Source organism: Homo sapiens, chromosome 2 (genome assembly GCF_000001405.40).
Source record: "Homo sapiens chromosome 2, GRCh38.p14 Primary Assembly".
Classification (NCBI taxonomy): Eukaryota; Metazoa; Chordata; class Mammalia; order Primates; family Hominidae; genus Homo; species Homo sapiens.
Genome location: NC_000002.12, coordinates 179,982,135 through 180,008,529, shown reverse-complemented (window position 1 = coordinate 180,008,529; position 26,395 = coordinate 179,982,135). Strand labels below are relative to the sequence as shown.

Genomic DNA, 26,395 nt, shown 5'->3' with positions numbered 1-26,395 from the left:
GATTAGATTGTTCCCACCAGATTAAGGGTGAGTCTGTCTTCCCCAGTCCACTGACTCAACTGTTAATCTCCTTTGGCAACACCCTCACAGATACACCCAGGATCAATACTTTGCATCCTTCAATCCAATCAAGTTGACATTCAGAATTAACCATCACCGGTAGTATTGTGGGTTTTTAAATATATGAATACAAATGTTCATCTCCAGATCCATCTCCTGTGCCCTGTATTGGTGCACCAAAATGCACCATCAACAATGGCCAAATATCTTAAATATGAAATAAAATAGATAACACTATTGTATACTAGCAATTATCTTAAATGCATCTTGTGTATCAACTAATTCAATTCTTAAAACTACTGCCTGGATGGATACTATTGGTATTTCCATTTAACAGATCAGGAAACGGCCACAGAATGTGAAGTTACTTGCCCCAGTCATCCATAAATAATAAAAGGACTCAAGATTCAAAATAAGTAGTCCAACTGCAGTGTTTTTATTCTTAATCATCACACTCTGCCTCCAGAAAGGAGTGGAAGCACAGCACCCTAAAACTGTAATAGAGAAGTGTGTGGAGAAACCAGTCCTGGTTTATGAAAGATTTGATAACATAAAGATATTCTTGGTTTAGGAAGAGAGTTTCCAAAATAGCAAGTAGTTGAACTTTTAGGTTTTGTTACTAGTGAAAAGTGAAGTTTAAAGAAACTGTTTGATGCCCTAGTTCTGCACGCTGTACAAACTGCTACTTCCTACTCAGCCAGGCAATCTCTTTATTCTCAGGTCATACCAGTTGGTACCTTAACCTAAAAGAGAGGCAACACAGTCTCTATAGAATTAGTTTTTCCTCATTATTTCACTCTATTTATGATTTAATATTCTCCCATTCTTATGGCCTGGATATCTTGGAATTTATTAGGCACTTAACTGTTGGTCAAACTCTTATAAAGTCTCAGGAAAATCTCTCTCTTAAGATTTTTCAAGGAAAGTGACAACTGACTGCTTTTTTAAAAAAAATTTCCCCAAAATGCAGTGAAATAGTTTTAAAGTAAATTCGGCTAGACCCTGAACACTACTAGGCTGCCAGTGAGCAGCGTGGATGTTAACTCGCTGGCGCGCATCTGTATGAACTACAATTCCCATCGTACACCGCGCCATTTCACGCTAAACTACAATTATGCTTTCCTCATTTCCGTCAGCACAGGCGCTGGATTTCGGACTTTGTAGTTCATGCCAACTTCTCTTTTTTGTCGCCATTTTGGCAACAAGACAGTGTGCCTGGATCGACTACTTTGACTCTGGTATTATGATATGGTATTTGAAATAAATTAAAGGGATAACGTGTCAAGCCAATTGAGCGTCAAGTTTTTAAATATTTCACTATTCGCCTTCTTCCTACCGTCGGTGCTCGGGAAGAGGAAGTGACGTACGTCCGGTGTAATGGCGGCGCGGTGGAGCTCTAGGTAATTATCGAACTCCGTGGAGTCCCCGCAGGCAGAGACGCGGAGTGGGGGTGGCGGGTCGCCGGATCGGGTGGGAAGTAAAAGACCCCCAGGAGTGGGTGCGGGCTCACTGATACGGCTGTGAGCGGCATTGGAGTGTGCGTGGGTCTTCTCGCTACGCTCGGGCCCGCAAGAGGGGTGTGAGAGCGGCTAGGTCCAAGCAGGTGGGGAGGGAATGGGCTGCCATGAACTGACTGCCTGAGCGGACCGGCTGACCTTCCTTGTGAAGTTCCTGGAGCTGTCTGAAATCCTGCACCAACGCTGGTGCTGTGTTGTTTCTTGTGCACTGCGTTTTATACTTAGAGCCTCTGGAGTCCATTGGGGCTTGCCAAAGCCCCTTTCCTAGTGCCCGGGTCCCAGGGTCAGGGGAGTGGGATTAATGAGATCTAGTTGATTAAAAGTTAGTTGAATTACTTGCACTCTTATGCCTCTTGCCGGCATTATATCCCTTTGACTATTTGTTTTAAATTTCATTAGCGTCTTCTTTTTCATTTATTTGCCCTGTAAATACTGATAGTGTCTAGTGTTTAGTCTTGAAGACACTTCGCTTCTCATGTGCCCGCTTCATCTGTCATTCTTGATCCTTCCATAACTTGAACTATCTCCAGTGAGGTAATAACTGCCAAACTTGGGTCTCCAGGCTCCACCTCTCTAACGAGCTCTGGGTCCTACAACACAGCATTATATAACGGAAATATAATAGTTAATTTCACTGAGTTTAACTGCAAAAACCACGGTACCTATTTCCATTTAATCCTAACAATTCTTCTGAGGTAAGTGGAGAAGGCAGGATTTGGAGAAAGGCTATTCTAGATGCAAGAATTAGGTAAGAGTTTCCTTTGCATTTTTAGATGTGCAGAGACTCGAAATAGCAGATAAGCAAGCAAACTTGGTTCTCAGCAGATCAGTTAACCTACCTCTTATCTGTATTTAGACTTACCTTGTTTTAGGATTGCTTGTGAATTCAGGAGTTAACATAAATTATCATCCTACTATGGAAGGGCAGATTTAAAATTGACATTAAAAGTGTGGTTTTGACCAGGAGAGGAGAAGCATTGTTACAGGCGTTATCAGTAGGTGGAGGAAAGCCACTTGTGTTGGTCCTGGGTGATGGACTAGTAGACCAAAGATTTCTGTTTTATCCAGCTATTATTAGGTCTGTCACTTGGAGCAAGTTACCTAAAGTCTCTAGTGTCAGCTTCATCATCTGGAAACATGTAGGTAGTAATACAATACCTGCCTCACTGTATTGTCTTTTTTTGAGTATAAAGAAAAATAATGCAGATGAGGCACTGAGCACAGCGTTAGCGTTGTATTATTGTAAATTACTACTATGATACAGTTGATGAGTTCTCTCTGTTCCTCAATTCTTGTTCTCTGGTTCTGAATGTTGCCTTTCCACCTGTAAGTGTCCTTCCAGTTGTTTTTTGTTTTTTGTTTTGTTTTGTTTTGTTTGAGACGGAGTCTTACTCTGTCGCCCAGGCTGGAGTGCTGTGGCGCTATCTCGGCTCACTGCAAGCTCCGCCTCCCTAGTTCATGCCATTCTCCTGCCTCAGCCTCCCAAGTAGCTGGGACTAAGGTGCCCGCCACCACGCCTGGCTAATTTTTTGTATTTTTAGTAGAGACGGGGTTTCACTGTGTTAGCCAGGATGGTGTCTGTCTCCTGACCTTGTGATCCACCCGCCTCGGCCTCCCAAAGTGCTGGGATTACAGGCGTGAGCCACCGCTCCCGGCTAGTGTCCTAGTTTTAAGTGTCCATGCCACTTTAATGGAGTCTTTCCCAACTCAGTTGACTGGGGCTCTGAGACTGTCTTGGTTATAAGTTAAAGGCCAAGAACTTTGATCTAATACACTGGTGTATTGGTTCCAAAAATGTCTTCTGAATCAGCAGCATCATCTCCTTGAAGCTTGTTAGCAATGTAAATTACTGGGCTTCACCCAGTTCTGTTGAATCGGAAACGTGGAAATGGAGGCCCAACAGTCTGTCTGTCTTTTTTTTTTTTTTTTCCGAAAGCATTCGAGTAGTTCTCATGCCAATTAGTTTGAGAACTTCTGCTCTGGCTCATCCTTTAGGGGCATGCTATGATTCATCCTCCCCCGTCCTCAGAATCATGTTTGCTGCCCTCCTTGCTCCAAAGTACTTGGATGCATGGCCAGCCAGTATTTATTATTATTCCACCACATCCTTCCCTGCTTTGGATAGGGTACCTCCAATCACTTTTTGGAGTTCTGACACTTCCTAGACTACCTAATTGTTTTTCTAAGCCAGCTTTCTTAGCTCTGTTAGCTTTCCCAGCTGCTGAATTTTTAGAAGTTAACTCTCCTGGGGGGGAGGGGGGCGAGGGGCGGGGGCGGCGATGGCTCATGCCTGCATTCCCAGCACTTTGGGAGGCCAAGGCGGGCGGATCACTTGAGATAGACCAGCCTGGCCAACATGGTGAAACCCCGTCTCTACTAAAAATACAAAAAAAATCAGCAGGGTGTGGTGCTGTGCGCTTGTAGCCCCAGCTACTCGGGTGGCTGAGGCACGACAATCACTTAAACCTGGGAGGCGGAGGTTGCAGTGAGCTGAGCTCTCTCCACTGCACTCCAGCTTGGGCGATAAAGTGAGCCTCTGTCTCAAGAAAAAAAAAGAAGAAGAAGAAAAAAAGAAGTTAACTCTCCTTCCCAGTGATTGCACATTGTTGAATGACCTACAGTGGCTTGTACCTGAGACCACCCAAAAGACAACACAGTGATGCATTTTGTATTTCAGATGCCCATGCCTTAACTTGAATAATATTTTCAATTTATTGTCCACTTGTATTTAAATGGAATTTTGTACTACTCATCATATCCCTAACTTGGTCATGGTTTGTTCATGGTGCCTGGAGCTAGTCCGAGAAAGAAGTGGCTATTGGTAATACATTCATGCATCCCTCTTATAACTTTGAAGCCTCCCTTGTCGAATTTCCCTACTTTTCTGTTTATCTGAGCATGGGAGGGTGGTGGAACAATAAAGCCAGAGAGCATACTAGTTTCAGCAAACTCCCAGACTTAAACTTTTTCTCAGTATGTACATTTCCCAAGTGGACATTGGAAGAGACATTTGAATACCTACAACAAAGTACAAACTTTAAGCATGGATTATAGCTAGCCTTTATATAATAAAGTTAATAAGTCTTTCCTAGTGAACAGATACCAAAAACGGGGTATGGGCTGCCTTGGCCTTGGGACATATTAACTCCTGTGGAATGGGTTAGCTAGTGGGGAGGAGGAACTCGGTGACTCATGTTTAACCTGTCTTTCAGCCTAACTTATAAATGGGTGGAGCTAGACAGAGTTCAGCACTTCCACCTGAAAAGTTACCCTGTGAGTCCTTCCTGAAATAGTTTGTCAGGATAGCTTTATTTTAGACCTGGCTACAGGAGCCTCTGTAGTAGAATGCAGTGCTTGCATGTCTAGGGGCTAAATTTCTCTGTGGAGGCCAACACCTCCAAGTTTTCTTTAAACCAGAATGTGGTTTACTACGTGGCTCTCTAATTAAATAACCAGGTGACTTTCAAAGCTGTGCCTTGAAAATTGGCAGAATGTGTTCACCCATATACTTAATTAGGCAAGCTGAGGAACAGATTTGGGACAGGAGAGAGTGGTTTGAATGTGTGATGAAGGCATATGGCATATTCAGTAATTAGGGTTGATTTTGTAAGTTAAAAGAACTGCACCTTCAGGGACAGATTTCCTTTTGCAGTGCCTGCAAAGGAACTAGTATTTTTTTCATCTCACTCAATGAGGAAGTGTTTTCAAGCTGTTCCACAGGTTAACATGGAGTGAAGACTAATAGGGGGTGGCATCTGATAGTGTTGTCTTGATGTACTAAGACTTGGAAATCTTAGTATTTCCAAGAAGTAGGAGTTAATAGGTGAGACAACGCTGCTGTTGTATTCCTTGATGAACAAGTTGACAAAATGGCATTATAGGAAGTTCTATGTAGGCAGAAATTGGAGTAATCAGCAGAAATCTACACTCCCCGTTTTTTATTTAATTTTAGACTTGGAACTTATTAAGTAGCAGACACTGTCCTAGGTTCTGGATATGTAGCAGTGACCAAGAACCTTGAGGATCCAGTGTACTCATACAGAGCCTTTCATAGTTTAGCTTAATGAGTCTCTCATGTTCCATCTTATTCATGTTCAGTTTTTCATGTACACCTTGGAATCCCCAAATTCTCTGTCTCTGAGTCTTTACACATGCTTATCGTATTTCCTGAATGACCTTTTCCCCTTTCGATATGGATAATTCCTACTTGTTCTTTAAGACTCAGCTTCAAGACCTACTTCTTTCTGTATGTCCCAAACCCTCTTTTCCAGTAACACTTGTTTATGACATTGTTGTAGCACTTAGACATTTCTTCTTTACCCAAGGACAGAGTCCTCAATGCCTTGTCTGTTGTGTAATGTATATATCTCCCCACCGTACATAGACACTGCCTTTAGTAAAGACCATGACTGTACTTTTTCTCTTAGCTTCATACTTCCTCATTTTCTCTGTAAGCATTTTTCTTTTTTCATCTTCTTTTACTATTGTTTTGAGATGGGATCTCACTATGTTGCCCAGGCTGGGACTCTAGGCACATGCCACTGCACCCAGCTTTTCTCAGCCACTGAATATAAATATCAATTATGGCCCTAGCCTAAATGGAACCTTCCCCCAGCCTCCTATATACAGTGACAGAATGAGGGGGAAACATGGGCAGATTTGGTAGAATCAGTAGGATTTGGTGACTTACAGGGAGTAAGGAAAAGGAAATTGCCACCTGGGAAGCTTTGTAAGTCATATCTTAGAAGAAGAGCTGGTTTAAGATGGGGAGAAGGAAATAATTAGTTCCACTGTGGATTTCTTTAGTTCAGATGGCCTTTGGCACATCCACTTAGAGGTTTCCTGTAGCAAATTGGACATCATGATTTGGAACTCTAGAGAAGATTGGCTGGAGTAAAAAGTTGTTTTCGCATGTTAATTAAAGCTATGGGGATGGAGATGATCTTCCACAGATAATATGGAGAAAGAAAAGATAAGGACTATTCATTCATCCATTTAACAAATATGTATTGAGAGCCTCTAGTGTTGGGAATGTAGCAATGAACAAAACATAAATTCATGAGCAAATACTAAACTCTCAGGCATAGTAAATATTAAAGGGATGGACAAATGAAGGTGGTGTCCCTGTAAGTTGACAAGTGAGAACTTCAAGAAGGGGATTAGGTGCCAAATGCTAGAGCAATGTCCCATAAAAGAAGGAAGCTGCCCCTGGATTTAGCAACAAGAAAAAAAGTTACTGTGTAACATTGGTAAGTGCTGTGGAGTAGTGGGAAGGGAAAGCTGAATTACAGTGGGTAGGAGAGGTTAAGAATTAGAGACATCAGGCTGGACATGGTGGCTCACTCCTGGAATCCCAGCACTTTGGGAGGCCCAGGTGGGCAGATCACTTGAGGTCAGGAGTTTGAGACCAGCCTGGCCAACATGGCGAAACCCCATCTCTACTAAAAATACACAAAATTAGCTGGGCATGGTGGTGCGCACCTGTAATCCCAGCTATTCAGGAGGAGGCTGAGGCATGAGAATCACTTGAACCTGGGTGGTGGAGGCTGTGATGAGCTGAGATCATGCCACTGCGCTCCAGCCTGGGTGACAGTCAGACTCTGTCTCAAGAAAAAAAAAAAAGAAAAAAAAATTAGAGGCATCAAGTGTGAACTTACATATCACAAAATAGCTGTGTAGGGATGAGACAGTAAAACTAGAGAGGGGACAGGATAAAGGGAATTTGCCCCATAAATATCATAATTTATTTTTAAATGAATCATTAAAAAGTTCAACATGTAGAATTTTTCTTTAAAACCAACTTAAATAGAAATCAATACTGTACTGTAAATCAAGAGACAGCTTATTGAAATGTTGAAACTAACAAAAATAGACAAATTTCTATTCTCATAGATCCTGCATTCTGTTGAAAAGAAGCACATTGGGGAATCTTCCTATGCGTAAAAAAATTAATAGTATTTCCAAATGATTGGATCACTTAACTCTTTATTTGGTTACTTAAACAGCCTAAAATAGACTAGCTTCATGATACAGGAAATGAATGGGGGTAATACTACCTCCCAATTTATAATGTGAGGTTTTCAGTATAGATAATGGTGTCACTGGGTTCATTAAAATGTCTTTTTTTTTTTTCACTCCTCTGTGTCTTACTGTCTTAAAGTGTCTGAAAATTTGGGCTGTCTACTCTCCACACAGAGTTGCAGACCAGTCAAATGCTTTTATATTACTTACTTCTTACAGAAAACAATGTCCAGAACTGTCTGCACAACTTCTAGCCCTGTACTTGAACCTGGCAATCTAGTCATTCAAATGGTTATGAGTCAGCACACCTGGCATATGCAATGACTATGAAGCAAAAGGGAGGACAGCTCTGCAACTCTTTATTTGTAATTTTTGGAGCCAGAAGTGTTTTGATTTCAGTATCTTGTAGATTTTAGAAAACTGCAGTGCCTATACTACATATTAAGTAATCCCCCCTTTTGGGGTCTGGAGTAACATCCTCTAGTCAAAACACATTAATATTTCTGCACTGTATCAAGTCACATTAAGTATCAAGTCAGTATATGCTAAGTTTTGCTCTCAAGTGAGTTGCCACATGCTTAAGAATAATCTTTGTATTTTCAGAGCTTTACAGATTTTAGAACTGCAGATAAAGGATTTTCAACCTGTACCTGGTGACTTTTCTAGAAAGAGACAGGAGTATTTTGACCCTTTTATTTTCTTGAAATTGTGATTCTATGCTGACATCAAATTATAATTTTTTGGCCTTATGAGGTATATCATGAGGCAATTTTTTCACTAATATGTAAATTAAGACAGGAAAAAATAGCAAGAAACGGTTTTTCTAAAACAAGTAAGTTTTCCTTCAGTACAGATATGGAAAGTACATAGCAATCTTGTTTTATATTGTTCAAGAGCGAAGCCAATCTGTTACTCCTATTTGTTCCCTGAAAAGGAAAATCCGTTCCTTGGGGGCTTGGCTGTTGTTGAGGTATTTTCTGAGAATTCCGTTCCGTTATGTCCCCTCCCATTATATTTTGGCATTTAGAATAATTTTAAGACAGTTTTTATTTTGTATTGTATAATATTACCACTTTCCCCATTGGGCAACTAAGGTTTTTGTTTTGGTTTTTGTTTTTGTTTTAAATATGAACTCTGTTAAAATGTTTGAAATTCACCAAACCTGTTTTTACTATTTAGAAGCCAGAGGAGCCAACTAAAGGTAACTCACTATTGATTCCCCTTTCCTTTAGCAATTTTATGACAATATGTTTCAGCAAGTTCCTCTAACTTGGACTGAGAACACCGAAGTGACAATGGTAGAAGTGTTTTGCTACGGAAATCATCTGGAAAGCAGTGCATTTCAGCCATTAGTTGAATATTTTCTCATTTTCTTAATTTTTGAGATGATTGCAGAATTCACAGTTTTCTGCTTAACAGTCTGACGTACTTATATATGTTATTAAATATTTTGCTTTCTAATGCTTGATGAAACTGAGAGAAAAACTATCTTTTTTTTAATAGTGCTCTCGTGAATACTATATCTCCTATTGGAAAATATCCTTTCTTCGGGAGAACAGGTGTGGTTTTGTTGAGTTGCTTTCTTGTGAGAAGGGGAAAGAAATTTAATAATTCACCATAAAATTCACATAGTGATGCTTAGAAGAGCAGAGAGTGCTATAAACTCTAGATAAATTGCTCTCATTTCAGGAATTTCCGATTAGTGTAAGTATTAGCATGCATATGTTGAACTCAGAATTTCCGAACAGGCATATTCTGCATAAATCTGGACAATGACAATACTTTATTCATTTTTTGTTAGAACTATGATAGCAGTCTACTTTACCATATTGTCATTTTCACACTTACGTTGTGAGACATGGAAATGTAACAGATTGTACTTTATTGCCAGAAATTATTTGCTGATGAAAGTTGAAAGGGGAAAGATGATATCGATCAGAAGAAAACTCACTAAATTGAAATATGTAAATTGAAATATGTAAATTTAAATAGAAATAAAATGCACAGAAATTGCTTGTTCTGAAATGTGTAAGTAGGTTGGGAAGAGGAACCGGGTGTAAGACTCCAGGAGAGTAGCAAAGGAAAACGCTAAATCTTGTGCAATGGGGTCAAGTGATTTTTTATTTTTATTTTTTGCTCATAGTATACCTAGTCACAGTGAATTCTAGGTATGCTAAATTAAATAAAAAGGAATCCTTAAAATTACTATGAATGTTTGAAAAGAAGTAGTGCTTCATTATATTAAATCACAGTCTTTGCTATCTGGAACTTTGAACGAATGGATCAGTTTAGGCTAGGATAATTTTCTGTATAGTAGAGTCTGTACTTGTTTACATTTTATAATTTACCATTTTGGCTTCAATTCGTTAGTGTTGGCATTTTCATTGGGACAAAATATATGGCTTTGGCATCAGATAAACCTGGCTTTGAAGTTTAGCTTCTGCCATTTACTAGGTGTAATTTACGTGGACAAATTGCTTGAATTCTCTGTACTTCAGTTGTTTCACTGAAAAACATGGCTAAAAAAAAAATCACCAGAACAGGGTAATTATGAGGATTGAGGAAGATTGTATAAGTGATTATAAATTGTGGCCATAATTTCTCAAGTTTAAAAAACACTTCTTACCTATGAATTATTAAGAATTAATACATTTGGATTTTCTGTTTCCCTTTCCAATTGATTTACAACTAAGTTCTTCACTATAAAGTAGGTAGGCTGTGGGGTCTCTATATTCTGCCTAAGTGGCTCATGGTTTGAGAACAAATTGAGAACCAAAGTTTCTTATGTAAAATTGAAAAGCTGAGGAGACTTGGGGAAAAGTTGGATTTTGGAGTTACCTTGGGAATACTTTCATAAAACAAGTATGCATGGGTTTCCCCTACACTTTCTGCCCATTTTCTGATTTTGTAAGTCAGAGGTGGGCCCCAATATATGTACAAGTAATTCTCCTGTCATGCATTTTTTCTTGATTCAAGTTGTGTTTAATATAGTGACATCAAACTAGTTTTACACTGTTAAGTAGTGATTTAAAACTGACCTGTAGGAAAAAAGTCCAACCTGTCACCTTGCTTGAGTGGCTTAGTGTTTTGTTTATCATTATAGATTTGTTTCTTATACCTAGAATGTAAGCTTCACATGAACAGATTTTGTTACGGTAGTTCATTGCTGCCTATCCAGTGCCTAGAAAGATGCTGGGCAAATAACAGAAGTGCTGTATTATTTGTTGGGGAACAAATGTACGTATAAATAACACTGGGTTTAAAGGTAATAAAGGATATGTTAGAAATGTTAAATGGTTGTGCTAGTAGAGGTAGGGAAAAAAATACCAATATCTTTGAGCAAAAGTAAGTCGAGTAAAGTTTTGAGTTTTATGGCTCTCTATACCTTTATAGCCATTAAAACAGGAGCTTTGGAAGGAGTCATGCAATTTGGTTTCAACAGAGTCATCTTGTTGAGGCAAATGGTCCTAAAATCCAGCTGAGATAAGGGTTATCCCTACAGGGCTCTCATCCTCAGGTGAGGGAGGGGGTAGCCTCTGTTTTAAATATTTTTTAAAATTCTATTTTAATTTGTAGCCTTTTAAGCTACATTTTGTACTTTTTTTTTTTAGTCATTACTCTAAGGAACAGTATATATATATCCTTAACTTTTCATGTGCTACTTAGAGTCCATATTGTATCACCTTACGAAAGATGTAGAAAACCTTGCATAGTGTAGATCCATTTTGGTCGCTAGTTCTATATACTATACATATATATACTCTGGCTACATATATTATAACCCCTCAAGACATAATTTTTGCTGTAAAGAGTCATATGTATTTTAGATAAATTAAAATAAAACAGTATCTTGTATTTCCTGAGAAAGTTATCATTTACAGTATTCTTCATTTCTTTCTGAAAAACAGTTTCCATCTAGCATCATTTCCCTTTAGCTTGAAGAACTTATTTTAGCATTTTTTGTAGTGCAGGTCTGCTGGTGATAAATTCTCTTAGTTTCTTTCTCTTAGTTGTTGTTTTTTGTTTAATCAGTAAATGTCTTCATTTTGTCTTCCTTTAAAGATTGTTTTTGCTGGAATTCTACGTTAACTTTTTTTTTTATCTTTTAACACTTTTAAAAATTGTTTCACTATTTTCAAGTCTCTCTAGTTTCTTTTTCAAAAATTTTGATATAAAATATATAGAGATGTAATTTACCATCTTTACCGTGTTTAAGTGTACAGTTCAGTGGTAATAAATACATTTATACTCCTTTTTTTTCCTTCATCCTCCACACCCCACTCCCCTTTCTGGCCTCTGATAACCGCCAGTCTGCTTTATCTTCATGAGATCCACTTTTTTAGCTTCTGCATGTAAATGAGAACATGGTCTATTTAGTTTCTGATGAGAAGTCAACAGTAATTTGAATTGTTATTTCCTTGTATATAATATGTTGTTTTTTTCTTTTCTGCTTTCAGGATTTTTCTCTTTATCTTTGGCTTTAACTATTAACCATTCTACTGTTAAGCGTATTCAGTGAATTTTTTATTTCATATATTTTTCAGTTTTAGAATTTCTGTTTGGTTCTATTTTATCGTTTCTCTTGGCTGAAATTTCCCAGGCATATTTTTCTTTGCATCGTTCCATATGTTTTAAAAACCATGCTTTAAAAACCTTATATACTAATTCCAGGATCTGGATCATCTCAGCATTGATCTGTTTTGATTGTCTTTTTCCTTAAGATTGGGCCACATTTTTTAAATGTTATTTTTAATTGTCTCCTGGATATTATTTTTATGTTATAGAGATTTTGGTTTCCTTACATTCCTCTAAGGAGTGGTGACTTTTTAGGCAGTTAACTTGGTTGGACTTAAATTGCAAACTCTAGTCTCTTGAGCAGCAGTTCAAATCTTAGTTCAGTTCTTGGCAGGAATCTGTCTTGTACATGTGTTGGTTCAGAGGTAGTCAGAGATGTGGGAACAATTTATACCCAGCATATGGGGTTCCCCTCCACTGACTCTCTCCCCTCCTGGATTCCCCCTCAGTTTCCAGCAGTTGTGGTTGCCTCAGACTCTGTCCTCTTGTTCTTCAAATGAGAATGGCTGCAGCTTTTCATCAGTTTTAGCCACCCTTGCGTGGTACAGACTGCAGCTTGCCCTCAGACTAAAGCTATATTAAATGGGATAACTCACTCATGTTGCTCCTTTCTCAAGGCATCTACTCTCCTCTAGACTCAGCCTGCTTTTGTTCATTCTCCAGTGCCTTCAGGTGGTTGTTGTATATTTTGTCAAGAGTTTATGGTTGTTACCTGTGAAAGGATTAGGTTCAGTAGGAACTTCCTAGCCATTTCAGAAGTGGAAGTTCAGTTACCGTTTTAAAAAATTTGTTCAGAAGTGCTACATAAACTACCCAGTGGCCCTGGGAATCAAAACACCCTTATTATTTAAGTTCTTAGAGGAAAACAGTGTAATTCTCTCTAGTCTCGAACCTCTCTTTCGCCTTTGAAACATGTTTTTTATTTGACTTTTGATAACATAGGCTTATTAAGATGGTAACTCTTGCATGATATCAGAATAGACTGTTTAAGGTAGAGGGGCATGCCTCTCCTCTCTGCTACCATCACAGAGTCTGATTTTATGAAGTGTTTTACGTAACTTATTCTGGATTTTCTCAATTATTTATCTAAGGTATAGCATCGAGTAGGAAAAGTTACTCTGAAACTAAGTTCAAACAATGATGTCATAGTTGTGGGCATAATAAGGTCCTAGATAGACTAGTCTGTGGGCATCAGGATTTAGGACCCAGAGTAATCTTTTTTTGTTTGTTTGTTTGTTTGAGACGAAGTCTCACTCTGTTGCCCAGGCTGGAGTGCAGTGGCACGATCTCAGCTCACTGCAAGCTCCGCCTCCCAGGTTCACGCCATTCTCCCACCTCAGCCTCCGGAGTAGCTGGGACTACAGGCGCCCGCCACCACGCCTGGCTAATTTTTTGTAATTTTTCAGTAGAGACGGGGTTTCACTGTGTTTGCCAGGATGGTGTCAATCTCCTGACCTTGTGATCCACCCACCTCGGCCTCCCAAAGTGCTGATAAACTTTAAAAAGATACATAAAGAAAAGATTGGGGGACAACTTGCCAGCTGAAAACAAGGCTGAGCTTTCTAAACAACTGCAATAATAACTAATTGAAGAAAGAGCCTGTTAATAAGCGTATTATGTAAAGTTACACACATTTGTCTCTTTAACTGTAAGCCTCGTACATAAGCAGTGATGTGCTTTAGATTGTAGTTATATTTTATAGATTGATAAGTTTGCCTTTACTAACCTTGACACCATGCCAATCATTGTAATAGAAACATTTCTTGACTTAGTAATTCGTATACATCCCCATCTGCATTAAATGACAGCCGCTCTGTATCACTTTATAATGTCAAGACTATTTGTATGTGTGTGCCAGTGAAAGGAATACTTAACAGGGTGTCCTTATGGTAGGTTTCTAGTTGTAAGTCTAGCTGGCATTATAATTTAATTATTATAATTATAATTGAAATAGGATATCTGGCTTTCAGTGTTCTCTTTTAAAAGAAGGAATTGGACCAGATAATCTGTTATACCCTTTCTGACACTCAAATTAATTTTTTTTTCCAGTTGTATTCAGTTATTTTGCTACTAAGCACGTTGCTTTCTCTGCATTCTCTGTATCTTTTAATCCTTTTATTTTCTATTTTATTTTTGGGATTTCAGTGCCTTATACTATAAACCATTTAGATATGTACTTCCAATAAAATATTTGAATGCAAGTTCTTTGTGAACATAAGTATCAATTTAGCATCTTGCAGAAATTGCTAAAACTTACTTAGAGTATTAAAACACATCTGAAGATTTTAGATTTAATGCTGATGACTAGGTTTATTCTGAGCTAAATACTTAGTTCTCATATGTGCATATATCTGAAGCTTTGTGCCATTAATAGATCACATTGAGACATAATTATTGTAGTTTAGCACCTTAAATTTCTATGTGGATTAAATTTATTTCTTAATGATCATTATTGCAAGGATATTGGGTATTTCATTCTTAGTCTGTGTAGAAACATTGGATTTTTATACTCAGTTTATATAGAGTTTCTCTTCTATCGTTTCCTCAGGTTTTTTTTAATAATATCACACTACTATTTTATGATGTAGGTATGTATCTCCCTCACTATGAGAACATTTTTAATAAAGTTATAGGACATCCCTTTTTAAATTAACTTTTGTTCCGCTTGGTCCTTAGAATAAAACCTTCTATTTGCTCTCTTGTTCATGGATTTTTTTTCTACTTGTATGTGTTAGGTATACATTATTATGTGTAACTACTTAAGGATTTTTACAATTTTTATTATATTTGTTTATGGATTAAGAAAAATAAAGCGGTCAAATGTCCATTGTATAGAAAAAATATATCATCATTTTTCACACTTTGTTAGTGTTAATAAAGCTTTCTTTGGTATATTTTATAGGTGATGTTTGCAGACAGAAAAAGTAAACTGTCAAGGAATTCAGAGCATTGGGTACTTGTTATTTGGACCAGTTTGAAGCATCTTTGATTTATTGGACCAACTGGCAACAGAAAATGAAAAGTAGTGTGGCACAGATAAAAGTAAGTGTTTGAAACTTAAAATGGAGGATGTAAACTTATAGTCAATTACCTATTCTTTAAATATAAATGCATTTATGTAATTAGGACATCAGAGCCAGACAGTAGAATGGCACTTAGGTTGGTGCAAAAGTAATTGCAGTTTTTGCAATTTTAAAAACCACAATTACTGTTTGCACCAACCTAATACATCCATCTAACTTAAACAATTTTAAATGTAGATACTTAGCTATATGGAAGTATTAGTGTGCAAGAGGGCAGTTGAGAACATACAGAAGTGTGTGTACGTGTGTGTGCGCGTGTGTGTGTGTGTATACACATGGATGCATGCGTCAGGGGCCTGCATATATCATGTGAATGATCACATGTAAAAGAAAAACAAGTAACAAACAGTGCAGGGAAATTTCTGCATATCTGTTTACAACGTGAGCCTCTTGGATATTTCTTATGAATAGATGGATGGTCTCTTTATTCTGTGCTGTACTTTAGACAGTGTGCGTTCATTTATTTAACAAATGCATATTGAGTTCTAGTGATGGTTGTAAGAACTTTGAACAAAATAGTTTTATATGTGTTATATTGATTGTTAGATGTTATAGTGATTGTTCTAAGAACTTTGAACAAAATAGTGAATAAAACAAATCCTTATTTTCATGGAGTTTACATTATAGTTGTTGTGGGGAGGAGATAAAATAAATTATAAACTTGATAAGTTATGTAGTATGTTAGAATGTTAAGTAATAGAATTGTCCTATGGAGAAAAGAAGTAGAAAAGGGTAGGGGGATTCAACATTGAGGGGTTGCAGTTTTTAATAGAGGGATGAGTAGGGCCCATTGAAAAGATAGCCATTTGAGCAGAGACTTGAAAATGTAAGAGTTAACTATGCCGATATCTGGGGAAAGAGTGTGCCTGGCAAAAGGAACAGCAAAGGCAAAGAATCTAGAGTGGAGCAGGTATCAGAAGGGGAGAATTGTAGGAGGTGAGATCAGGGCAGGAATAGGGACCAGTAATTCCATCTGCTTTCGAAACTGTTCTGCCTGTGAGTGGACTTGGCAGGAGAGCAAACTACTCAACTTCTTTTTCTCTTCAACTGCATGGATTTAAAACCAGGACATCACTTTTTGGGCCTTGGAGTCAGTAAAGGGGGAACTGTATTTTTATTTGATTATAAATGTAGGCACTCCTCCCTTCCTATCCTCTTACAGCTGTACACACCTAAAGTTCCTTCTTTAAAGAGAAGCAGTAGATTGCAAGCTCCTTGACAGCAGGCCCTGTAGTAGGTGCTTATTAAGCTGAACTGATAGACTTGTAGAGTAAGGCAGCCTCTGCTGCAATCTTTTCCAACCTCTGTCAAGTGTGAGAAGACACTCACCCACCTCCCTTTTAAGTAGACATCCAGCCTTTGCTTGCATATCTCTTTTGGCAGGGGGCTCACAGTTTCCTAAGGTAGTTCCATCTGTCAGTAACCCTTGTATATTGTTCTCAAATCGGCCTTTTTGGGACTTGTACTCATTGGTCCATTGTTACTTAAACAGTTAATTTATTGAGGACCTAGTAGGTGGCAGATTCTGGGTTAGGAGCTGGAGACGTAAAGGAAACCTTGTACAGAACTGGCTCTTGACAGAGCCATGTTAGACAAGAGCGCTCAGATCTTTAGACTAATGCCTTTTACTCAAAGGGAGAAATGTTTAGCCTTTCTCAGACTCCTCTTTTGGTTCCTCTTAGTCTCTGCTTCTCCACGCTTCCCTCTTGTGGCCCAGATGGGTCTCCTGTAGCATTTTCTCCCCCAGCCTGCCCGTGGGTGGCTTCATTTAGCATGCCCTTCACACTTAGTGGCTTGGCTCTACCAGCCAGCTCTCTTTGGTCTGCTTCCATTTATCTCTTTTCTGTTAGCCACAATGGGTCCACTAGCTGGGTTGATGCTGATTCTTTCTTTAGGTGAAACTCAGCTCTTCCCTTGATGTTCTGAGGACTCACCTATTAGGTTCATAAGGCTTCAACTGAGAATCCCCTGTTTTTCCCTTGAACCTCACTGTAGCTTCCTTAGCAAGCTCCTACCTCTTCCAGCACCTCCTCCCTCTTTCTTTTAAAGTCTAGTGGATCATGAAAGCCACTGGACTCAGGCTTCTTGTTCCCCTTGTCTCCTCGTACTGCTCTCCCTACATTGTTGGAGACTATGAGTTACTACATGATGTCACCATATTTGTTTTGCTTCATGAACAATTTCGAAAAATTTTAAAAGGTAATTCTGACTGTATAGTATTTTCAACTACTGCACTGACTTACAATCTAAACTCTGTGATAAAAGAAATAGGGAAATTCAGGTTCTTAATATTTGATTCATACCTGAAAGTGATTCTTAACTTGGTGAAATCCTATTCATCTACCAAAGCCAAATTCAAGTCCCCGTTTTCCCACTTTCATCCGTTAGCACTGTATGCCACAGTGATTGTTTCCTACTCAAGATCTCCTGTTAGCACTTACTATGTGTGCCAGTCATTTGTTACTTGATCATATTTATGAAATCCTTCTTCACAACTTCAATATTTTTGGTCTCTTCCTCTTGCTCACAACAGATGTTGCGGAGATGTGTTAAAAATCATTAGTACAGAATTGGGGCCTTCTCCTTAATGTAATCAAAATAACTTTCTTTGCCTTGTAAAAGAAAAAGGAGATAATGCAGTTTTATTGTCCTCTGTCTTCTCCTCTCTCCTCTCCCTGCCCCCTCCTTCTTCTTTCTCTCTCTCTCTCTCTCTCTCTCTCTCTCTCTGTCTGTCTCACTCACTCACTCTCATTCTGGGGAACATATAATCTAATGTGTTTAATCATAGAAATCTTTATAAGCCTGTCTGTCTTCTACAAGATCATAAGCTCCTTGGCCTTTCTTATCTATTGTATCTTTCAGAATGTCTACACAGGAAGGACTATGTCTTATAATAAGTGATCAGTATAAATATTGTATTTTATGTTACCATTGAATTGAATGAATCTTGTGCTTTGTATTTGACCTAAGATCTTTATGTGAAGTTTTATAGAAACCTATGTCATATATATTGAACATTTCTATTTCACTGTGTTGATGAGTGAAATAATTTTTAAAACTTTCTTATATTAGATACAGAATTTTAAAATGGTTGAATTTAATGCAAAGTAACAGCTAAACTATGGTTACTTTAAGTTATCAATTTTGATTACATGCTTATTCACCTATATAAATTAGTTAGTGGATACTATTCAAAAAATTCAGTAATGAGACTATTTTGCATTGTACTTGTGATTATGTTAGACTCAAACTGCTGTTAATTAGATAGTCATAAAATCAGAGGAAGTTGGATCTTATATTTCTACTCAGAATAATTTTCTTTTTTAAAATATATCCTTTCTTCATTAAGGAGGCAAGCATGTAAGTTTGCAGAACTGTTATTCATTGTTTGATTTAGTTTATCTTAGATTTCAAGATTAAGGTATGTTAAATGCTATTTTTCTTTACAGTATGGTTAATTAAAATTATTTTAATTCTTAAAAAAAGGCTTGTCGATATTTGAATGTTGACCAGTTATATAAAAAATTTTACCTATATACAGAGGTAAACATTTTGGTTCCTTAATGTATTTGGATTTTTTAATTAGGATGTAGTCTCAAACTGGATGGTTCACATCTCTGTCTCATGTCAGTCTCATGTTACATGAAGTTACTTATTTGTATATTGATTGTTTTTCAAAAAATTTGGAATAGTGCTTATACCCTAAAAGTAATGTTGTTCGAGTCCCTAGAGCCTACCACAGTATAATACATATCAGACACTCAATTGATGTTTGTTGAAAACAAAAATTAACTTTTATAAACATGTTAGAGTCAGTTTCTTCCAGCTATTTTACCCTGTACTAAAGTTGTGGTTTTCATAAGCCAAAGGAGATAGGAGGTAAGTACAATATTGTGGCTGAGGCGAGAAGATCACTTGAGCCTGGGTGGTTGAGTCTGCAGTGAGCCGTGATCATGCCACTGCACTCCAGCCTGGGCAACAGAGCAAGACCCTGTCTCAAAAAATAATAATAATAATAATAATTATTATTATAACTTATTACATAGAAGTAAAATATAAACTAGATGTCATCAAAAATTTGAGAATTATCTTTTTCTACCTTGAATTTTTTTGGCTAGAAAGAAGTATTTGGTTCTGCAAAGCCGTAAGAATGATACAATGGGTTTTAGGGACTCAGCGGAAAGGGTCAGGGAGAGTAGGGGGGTGGTTAGGGATAAAAGACTACACATTGGGGTACAGTGTTCATTATTCATGTGATGGGTGCAGCACAGTCTCAGAAATCACCACTAAAGAACTTATCCATGTAACCAAACACCACCTGTTCCACATAAAACTATTGAAATAAAAAATAAAATAAAAAGAAATAAAAAATAAAAATAAACAGAAAAAAAAAGAAGTTTTTGGTCCATAATGAAAACAGGTGCCTGCCACAGACAGGCCTATCTGGGATGGTCTGAAGATTTTGTTTTATCTTATAGACTGTTTAGGTTACATGAATTATTCTTAATGATTTAAAAAATGTTTTGATACAATTTCTAAAGTACTTCCAACTTTCTAAGCCATGTATTTCAGTCTGTGTTATTAACATAAATAATTTTTGAAATGTTTTCCCCTTTTCCTCTTTTAAAGCCTTCTTCTGGTCATGACAGAAGGGAAAACCTTAATTCATATCAGAGGAACTCCTCTCCAGAAGACAGGTAAATAGTTTAATATGCTCTGAATGCAATGTAAATTTTTATAGTAAGGTTTATGTAATAATTTAGCTCTTAGATTTCTAATTTTAGGGTGGATAACTTCTTTTTAATGGTTTTATAACCAATATTACTTGAATGGGCTGTAGGAGGAATCATCCTTAAATGACTCTTCTAGGAGTTTCTAGTAAATAATTCCAGATATTATGTAATTTTTATGTGAAAGGGAGTAATTTTTAATGTTTCAAAGACTAATGGAATGAAAGTGTAAAATGGAAAACTGAGTTGAAATTACAGTATTCAGAAGTGCTGCTTTTGCTACTGTTAGTATTATCTCTTACATGTACATAGCTCTGTATTGTCTTTAAAATATTTTTATATAGATTATAACAGGGGTCCCCAACCCCCAGAGCCATGGACCAGGCCACACAGCAGGTGAGCAGCAGGCCTGCCAGCATTCCCGCCTGAGCTCCACCTCCTGGCAGATCACCTGTGGCATTCCATTCTCATAGGAGCACAAACCCTCTTGTGAACTGTGCATGTGAGGGATCTAGGCTGTGTGCTCCTTATTAGAATCTAACTAATGCCTGATGATTTGAGGTGGAACAGTTTCATCCTGAAACCATCCCCTCACCCCCTAACATCTGTGGAAAAATTGTCTTCCACAAAACCAGTCCCTGTTGCCAAAAAGGTTTGAGACCGCTGGATTATATCATATTATAACTATGTTAAGGTCAGCGATCCAAAAATGTTAACATTAATGTGCATTATGAATTCATATTAGCACTACAATTATTTCATTTATGATCATTGAAAGACCATTAAGCATATGGTCTATTAAAAATAATGACTGTAAAAAAAATTTTTTATGCCCATTAAAAATAATTTATGAAGGAAGAAGCACCCTTCAAACTTTCTTCCAGTTGTCTAGGCTTCCTTACTCCACATGTACTTTCTTATTCTACTCTGCTAAATAATCTCTAAAAACTTTGCTTTGTGAACATCAAGTTAATTGCCCTGATTCATAATTACTTACTATCTTTCACCGATTGTCTACTCCCTATATATTTAAAAACAAAAAACAAACAAAAAACTCTTTACACACAGACACACACACACACAGGTATTTGTGTGTATAACTTAATTGTAGATGTGTATATAAAATATGGATTATGTTACTATGTATCTATTATGTATATATTTAACTTCTCTTAAGGTTCTCTGATTTTATTGACTTTTAAGATTCAAATAACAGATCTGATGCTATCCATCCTTGTTTGCTAATAATTTCAATCCATTCTCATTGCTGTCCAGTAATGCATTTTCAAGATTAACAGCTGATGAATATGGTCTTTTGGTATGGAATTAAACTGATCCTTATGGAGGCCAGCCAATGACCTTGGTCTCATACATTCAGTGTTTTGATAAACAAGCCAACTAAGCAAAAGGAGTCATTTGTAGGATAGCCTTTTTCATGCTAACTATATATGATATCCAGATATATGTCTCCTACTGAGAACAAAGTGAATCAGGATAATTCACTAAACAAGTAAGTTTGGTTAAGTGAATCCTAGGAGTTGTTTTGCTGTGTACAAACTGAAAGCTTTTGTAATTCTGATGGAATGAATGGGTGTTAGCAAAATGAGCTGTTAAGAACAGTTTGACACGATGTTGTTCAGTCATAGAGTTGCTTTACCATTACCAATATATGACTTTCCTAAATATTTATAACATAGTTGTTTTTAATTTGCAACTTGGTTTTCTTATTTTATGTTAGATATGAAGAACAAGAACGATCCCCCCGGGATAGAGATTACTTTGATTACAGCAGATCAGACTATGAGCATTCAAGAAGAGGACGTTCTTATGATAGTAGCATGGAGTCACGGTTAGTGTTGGGAATTTCTAACTTGTAGAAAATTGTATTTGTTTAAACTCTCTTTATGCTACATTTGTAATAAAAACAAAAATAATACTAGCTAACATTAATTGGATGTTTTTAGGTGCTAGGCTTTCTAATAAGGGCTTTATATGAATTAACTTCTTATTGCAGTAAATATGTGAAGTAGGTGCTAGTATGTCTGCTTTACAGCTGAAGAAACTGAGGTCTAGAGAAGTTTAGTAATTTGTTCATGTTTTGAAACATAATAGTGGCAAGCCTAAGTCTGTCTGACTCTAAAGCCCAAGCTCATTCATTGTATTGTACCGCAAGAGGGGTTGGTTTATGTGATTTTTTGAGATTCTTTACTCAATGAAAGAAATTTATATTGTATGATATAGAGTGGTCTAAATTTACTTTCCTGCGTAATGGCAGAGGGACATTGAGACTTAAGTTTCCAATTTGTAGTTTTTTTCTACATGTGAAGGATTCTTACTTGAGCTTTAGAGAACTTGGTTACCCACCTGTTCCTGTGGCTAACAAGACTTGCAATATTTCCTTGGTTGAGAAATGGGCAAGGGAACTGAATGGAAGGCAGATGGTAAGAAACATTGGAATGAGAGTGTTTGGAGACTCCTAGGGGTAATATTTAAGAAGAGTCAGACATTAAGTGCCATTCATGTTTCATTGAAATCTAGGCAGAGTATTATAACCCCTTGTTATTGATATGTATTTATTTTCAATTCTTTTTCTCCCTTGTAGAAATTAGTAATAGTTTTTACAGTGAGAATACATCAGTCCCCACTTATCCATGGGGAATGTGTTCTAGGACCCCAGTGGGTGCCTGAAACTGCAGATAATACCTGAACCATATATATATATACTATGTTTTTTCCAATACATACATACCTATGATAAAGTTTAATTTATAAATTAGGCATAGTAAAAGATTAACAATAGTAACTAATACTAAAATAGAACGATTATAAGAATATACTCTAATAAAAGTTATCGAATGTGGTCTGCCTCTCTCAAAATATCTTATTGTACTGTAGTCACTTATTTTTGGACCGTGGTTAATCACTGGTAGCTGAAGCCTCAGAAAGTGAAACCACAGATAAGGGGTGACTACTGTGTTAGAAAGATGTCGGCGTTTTAATAATTCCCTTTAAAACTTCACTAAAGGGCCTCTGTATTTGCTCAGGAGAAGGTATAATGGAATTAAAAAGTTACTTAGTACATGTGGGGAGAGACTCTCCAGGTAGAAGTAATGGTAGTCTCAAAGAAAATAGTGGGGCAGATACTTGAGATGCTCAATATAGGGAAGAGATGTTAACTAGCATTCTGCAGATGGAAATACTCTCAAGTACTTAAAACAGAAGTCACTATATGGGTAGTATTTCCTTAACTTGCATGTATCTTTGCTTAGGAGAGGAGTAGTGATGCAGACAATTTCCAGGTCATTTGAAATTGACTTTGGGATGTCTATATTTTACACTTTTTAATGAGGTGGTGTTGCATAGTAGAAAGAGAATAGATTCCATATTCATGCAGATTAGAGTTCAAGTTTTAGTTACTAGTTACAGAAATTTGGTAAAATTTCTTAACAAACTTCTTCTGAGCCTCAGTTTCCTTATCTATAAGATGAGGATGATAACATGTATCTTGTCTGGTTGTTTAGGTTTAAAAATAATGTCTGTCCTACTACCATGTCTGAACATAGTAGATACTAAGAAAATGACAACTTTAAAATATTAGTTTCTTGAGCATATCAGTTTGAGTAGTGATAAGCGGTGAACCCTTGGCACTTTATATGGAAAACAGTGGAAGAGTTCAGGTAAACTATTGTTGAACAACGTGGTTGATTCTGAATGTATTTCTAATTAATCTTACAAAACTAACATTATTTTAGTATTTTATAAAGGAACTGTGATTTGTCTCTGTAACAACCATTTTCATTATCCCTTCATAGACATCTTTCTGCCTTTGTCATTGTTTTCATAAAACCAGCTTTCTCCTGATTTTCCTGTATTCCCTTATTAGTCATCTAGTTTCTAAAACTTGACTCTCATGGTTTATCGTTGACTAAAATCAATATCTTTTTTTGATGTCTCTCAGATATTATCCACCCCTTTACTACCAATATTATACCCCCCACAGGAATTTTGACCAAATTCCTCTGCAGTTTGGAGTTTGGAGCTAAGCACATCCTTTGATATCCACAGCCAAAAATTTCCTTCTCATCACTTTCTAGTATATACCTAATCCTATAATGTCAGATTATATTAACCTTCAAAATCCAGGCTTGTCTGCTGTCACCTTAATGAGAATGACTACTAGTACCATAATTGGTAAGCTAAGCTTTTTGTATATTTTCCCAAATACTGTTAAAACTCTTAGAAACTAGATACTATTTTTTCCAATTTACAGATAAGGAAATGGCTTTGAGTTTATTAAGTAGCTTACCTGAGGTTGCATTTAAACATCTGGTAGATGTTGAAACTGGAATTTGAACTCAGTTCTGGCTCCAAAGCTTCTGTATTTTTCACAATCCCTGACTGTTGTACTTCAGTATAACTCTATGTTAGGTCTAGTATATGAAAATGAAGTCTCATGTTATCCACACAGTCACACTATGAAGTAAGCAGGCTAGGTATTATGCAGAACATAAAGGCTAACAGTCCAAAAATGTTTCTATTTAGACTTTTAGAATATTTTGTTACTTCTGCACTATAAAGGAACAAACACAATAATGGTAGGGATCTGATTTTATCAGCCAGCTAGCTCTCTTACCTGGTGTTTCTCAGAAGAATCATAACCAATGTCAGGAAATCCCTGCTGTAGCTACTCTCTTGGAACATGTATATTCACAAGAAGAAGCAATTCAGTTGCAAATTAGTGTAGAGAACTTAGAGCATCTGCCTTTGTGACTAATTGAGGTTGATATTTGAAATCACTCTTTCCCCCATCTGTTCACTCTTGGTGTATACAGATTGTCTATCCTCCCTAGGAGTCATTTAAGTCTCTTATACCTCAGTTTCAAAACTGTTCATCCAACCCAACAATCTCATTACTGGGTATATACCCAAAAGAATATAAATAATTATATTATAAAGACACATGCATGTGTATATTTATCACAGCACTATTGACAATAGCAAAGCCATAGAATCTACCTAAATGCCCATCAGTGATATACTGGATAAAGGAAATGTCGTACTTATACACCATGGAATACTATGCAGCCATAAAAAAGAATGAGATTATGTTCTTTGCAGGGACATGGATGGAGCTAGAGGCCATTATCCTTAACAAACTAACACAGGAACTGAAAACCAAATACCACATGTTCTCATTTATAAGTGGGAGCTAAATTATGAGAACACATTAACACATGGAGAACAACACACACTGGGGCCTTATGGAGGGTGAAGGGAGAGTGGAGGGTGGGAGGAGGAAGAGGATCACGAAAAACAGCTAATGAATACTAGGTTTAATATTTGGGTGGTAAAATAATCTATACAACAAACCCCCATGACACAAGTTTACCTATGTAATAAACCTGCACTTGTACCCCTGAACTTAAAATAAAAGTAAACAAATGAACAAAAAAAATCTGTTCCTCCACAGCTACCTGGGAAGATGACTGCTTTTCAATCTCCGTGTAGGTTTTATTACTATATATTTAAAAGACCATCTCAAACATACTCCTTAGATTTAGCTAAAATCTATACCACAGTTTCCTGGTAATGCAGTGATAATATGAAATTTACTTTTATTTACTATATTATATATAACTCATGGTTACCCAAAACACAAACAGAATGATCTGGGTTTCCAAGGCAGTATATGTAAAAAGCAGCTCAGTGGATAAACTTTGCTCTGGGGAAAGATAGCAAAAAGCAAGAATTCGCTCTTTCCCGTTAGTTCTTGATGGTTTCAGAGAACTGTACCTTGATTGTTTTAAAAGCCTCAGCTTAAGAAAGGATAATCAGGTACGTTAGTAGGGAAGACATTGTGGCTAGAAAAGTTTTTCCCCCCACATTGTCTCAAATAAGCAGAAGCTTCCAATATTCTGAGATTTCTAATGAAAATATTAGTTCTATCAAGAAACAACTTCAAATATTATATTCTATAGTAGTCTTACAACTAAAGTAACCACTATTGGAGATTAACTCTGGTTTCTTCTCCTTTATACAATTTGTCATATACACCACAGGCTAATTTGTCTTCTTAAAACACTCTTTTCATGCCACTCTCCTACTGAGAAACTTTTAATGATTCCCCATCACCTCCAGTATAAAAACCTTAAAGTCTTTACATATGTTTTAAGATTTTAGTCTAACTCTAATTCATCTTTCCAACAACCATGACACATAATCCTTTGTTTCCTGATTGTCCTACTCATTCTGACCTTAACACCCCTGCTCAGTCTTTCAATAATTATTCCCTCTTCTACTAGTTGCAAAATGTCATCCTTCGTCTCCCCTTCCTCCTGCCGACTTGCCCCCAGTCTAAATCCTGTCAAGCCTTCAGGACCTAATTTGTTGAATTTTCTCTGTGAAACAC

General features: G+C 37.0%; 1 protein-coding gene across 5 annotated transcripts in view, besides 1 other annotated feature; it reads left to right on the top strand.

Annotated features, from left to right (window-relative positions):
• The first annotated feature begins 1,232 nt into the window (after positions 1-1,232).
• The window catches only part of CWC22 (CWC22 spliceosome associated protein), a 62,422-nt gene continuing 37,259 nt past the window's right edge, over positions 1,233-26,395 (top strand). For 2 of the 5 annotated variants that reach the window (NM_001376033.1, NM_001376029.1), the window contains exons 1-4: positions 1,424-1,460; positions 15,076-15,215; positions 19,886-19,953; positions 21,725-21,835. In NM_001376033.1, coding sequence (NP_001362962.1) covers positions 15,189-15,215; positions 19,886-19,953; positions 21,725-21,835 — 206 coding nt within the window. In that variant the 5' untranslated portion in view covers positions 1,424-1,460; positions 15,076-15,188. Of the gene's footprint in view, positions 1,664-8,623; positions 8,800-15,075; positions 15,216-19,885; positions 19,954-21,724; positions 21,836-26,395 lie in introns of those variants that run through there. The other 3 variants (NM_020943.3, NM_001376030.1, NM_001376032.1) reach the window with 3 other exon arrangements.
• Positions 1,553-2,085: an enhancer, noted in NCBI's record as "NANOG-H3K27ac-H3K4me1 hESC enhancer chr2:180871172-180871704 (GRCh37/hg19 assembly coordinates)". NCBI's record gives its function as "activates a minimal SCP1, AML or CMV promoter by ChIP-STARR-seq in primed H9 embryonic stem cells {active_cell/tissue: H9 hESC(primed)}" and the evidence as "EXISTENCE:reporter gene assay evidence [ECO:0000049][PMID:30033119]".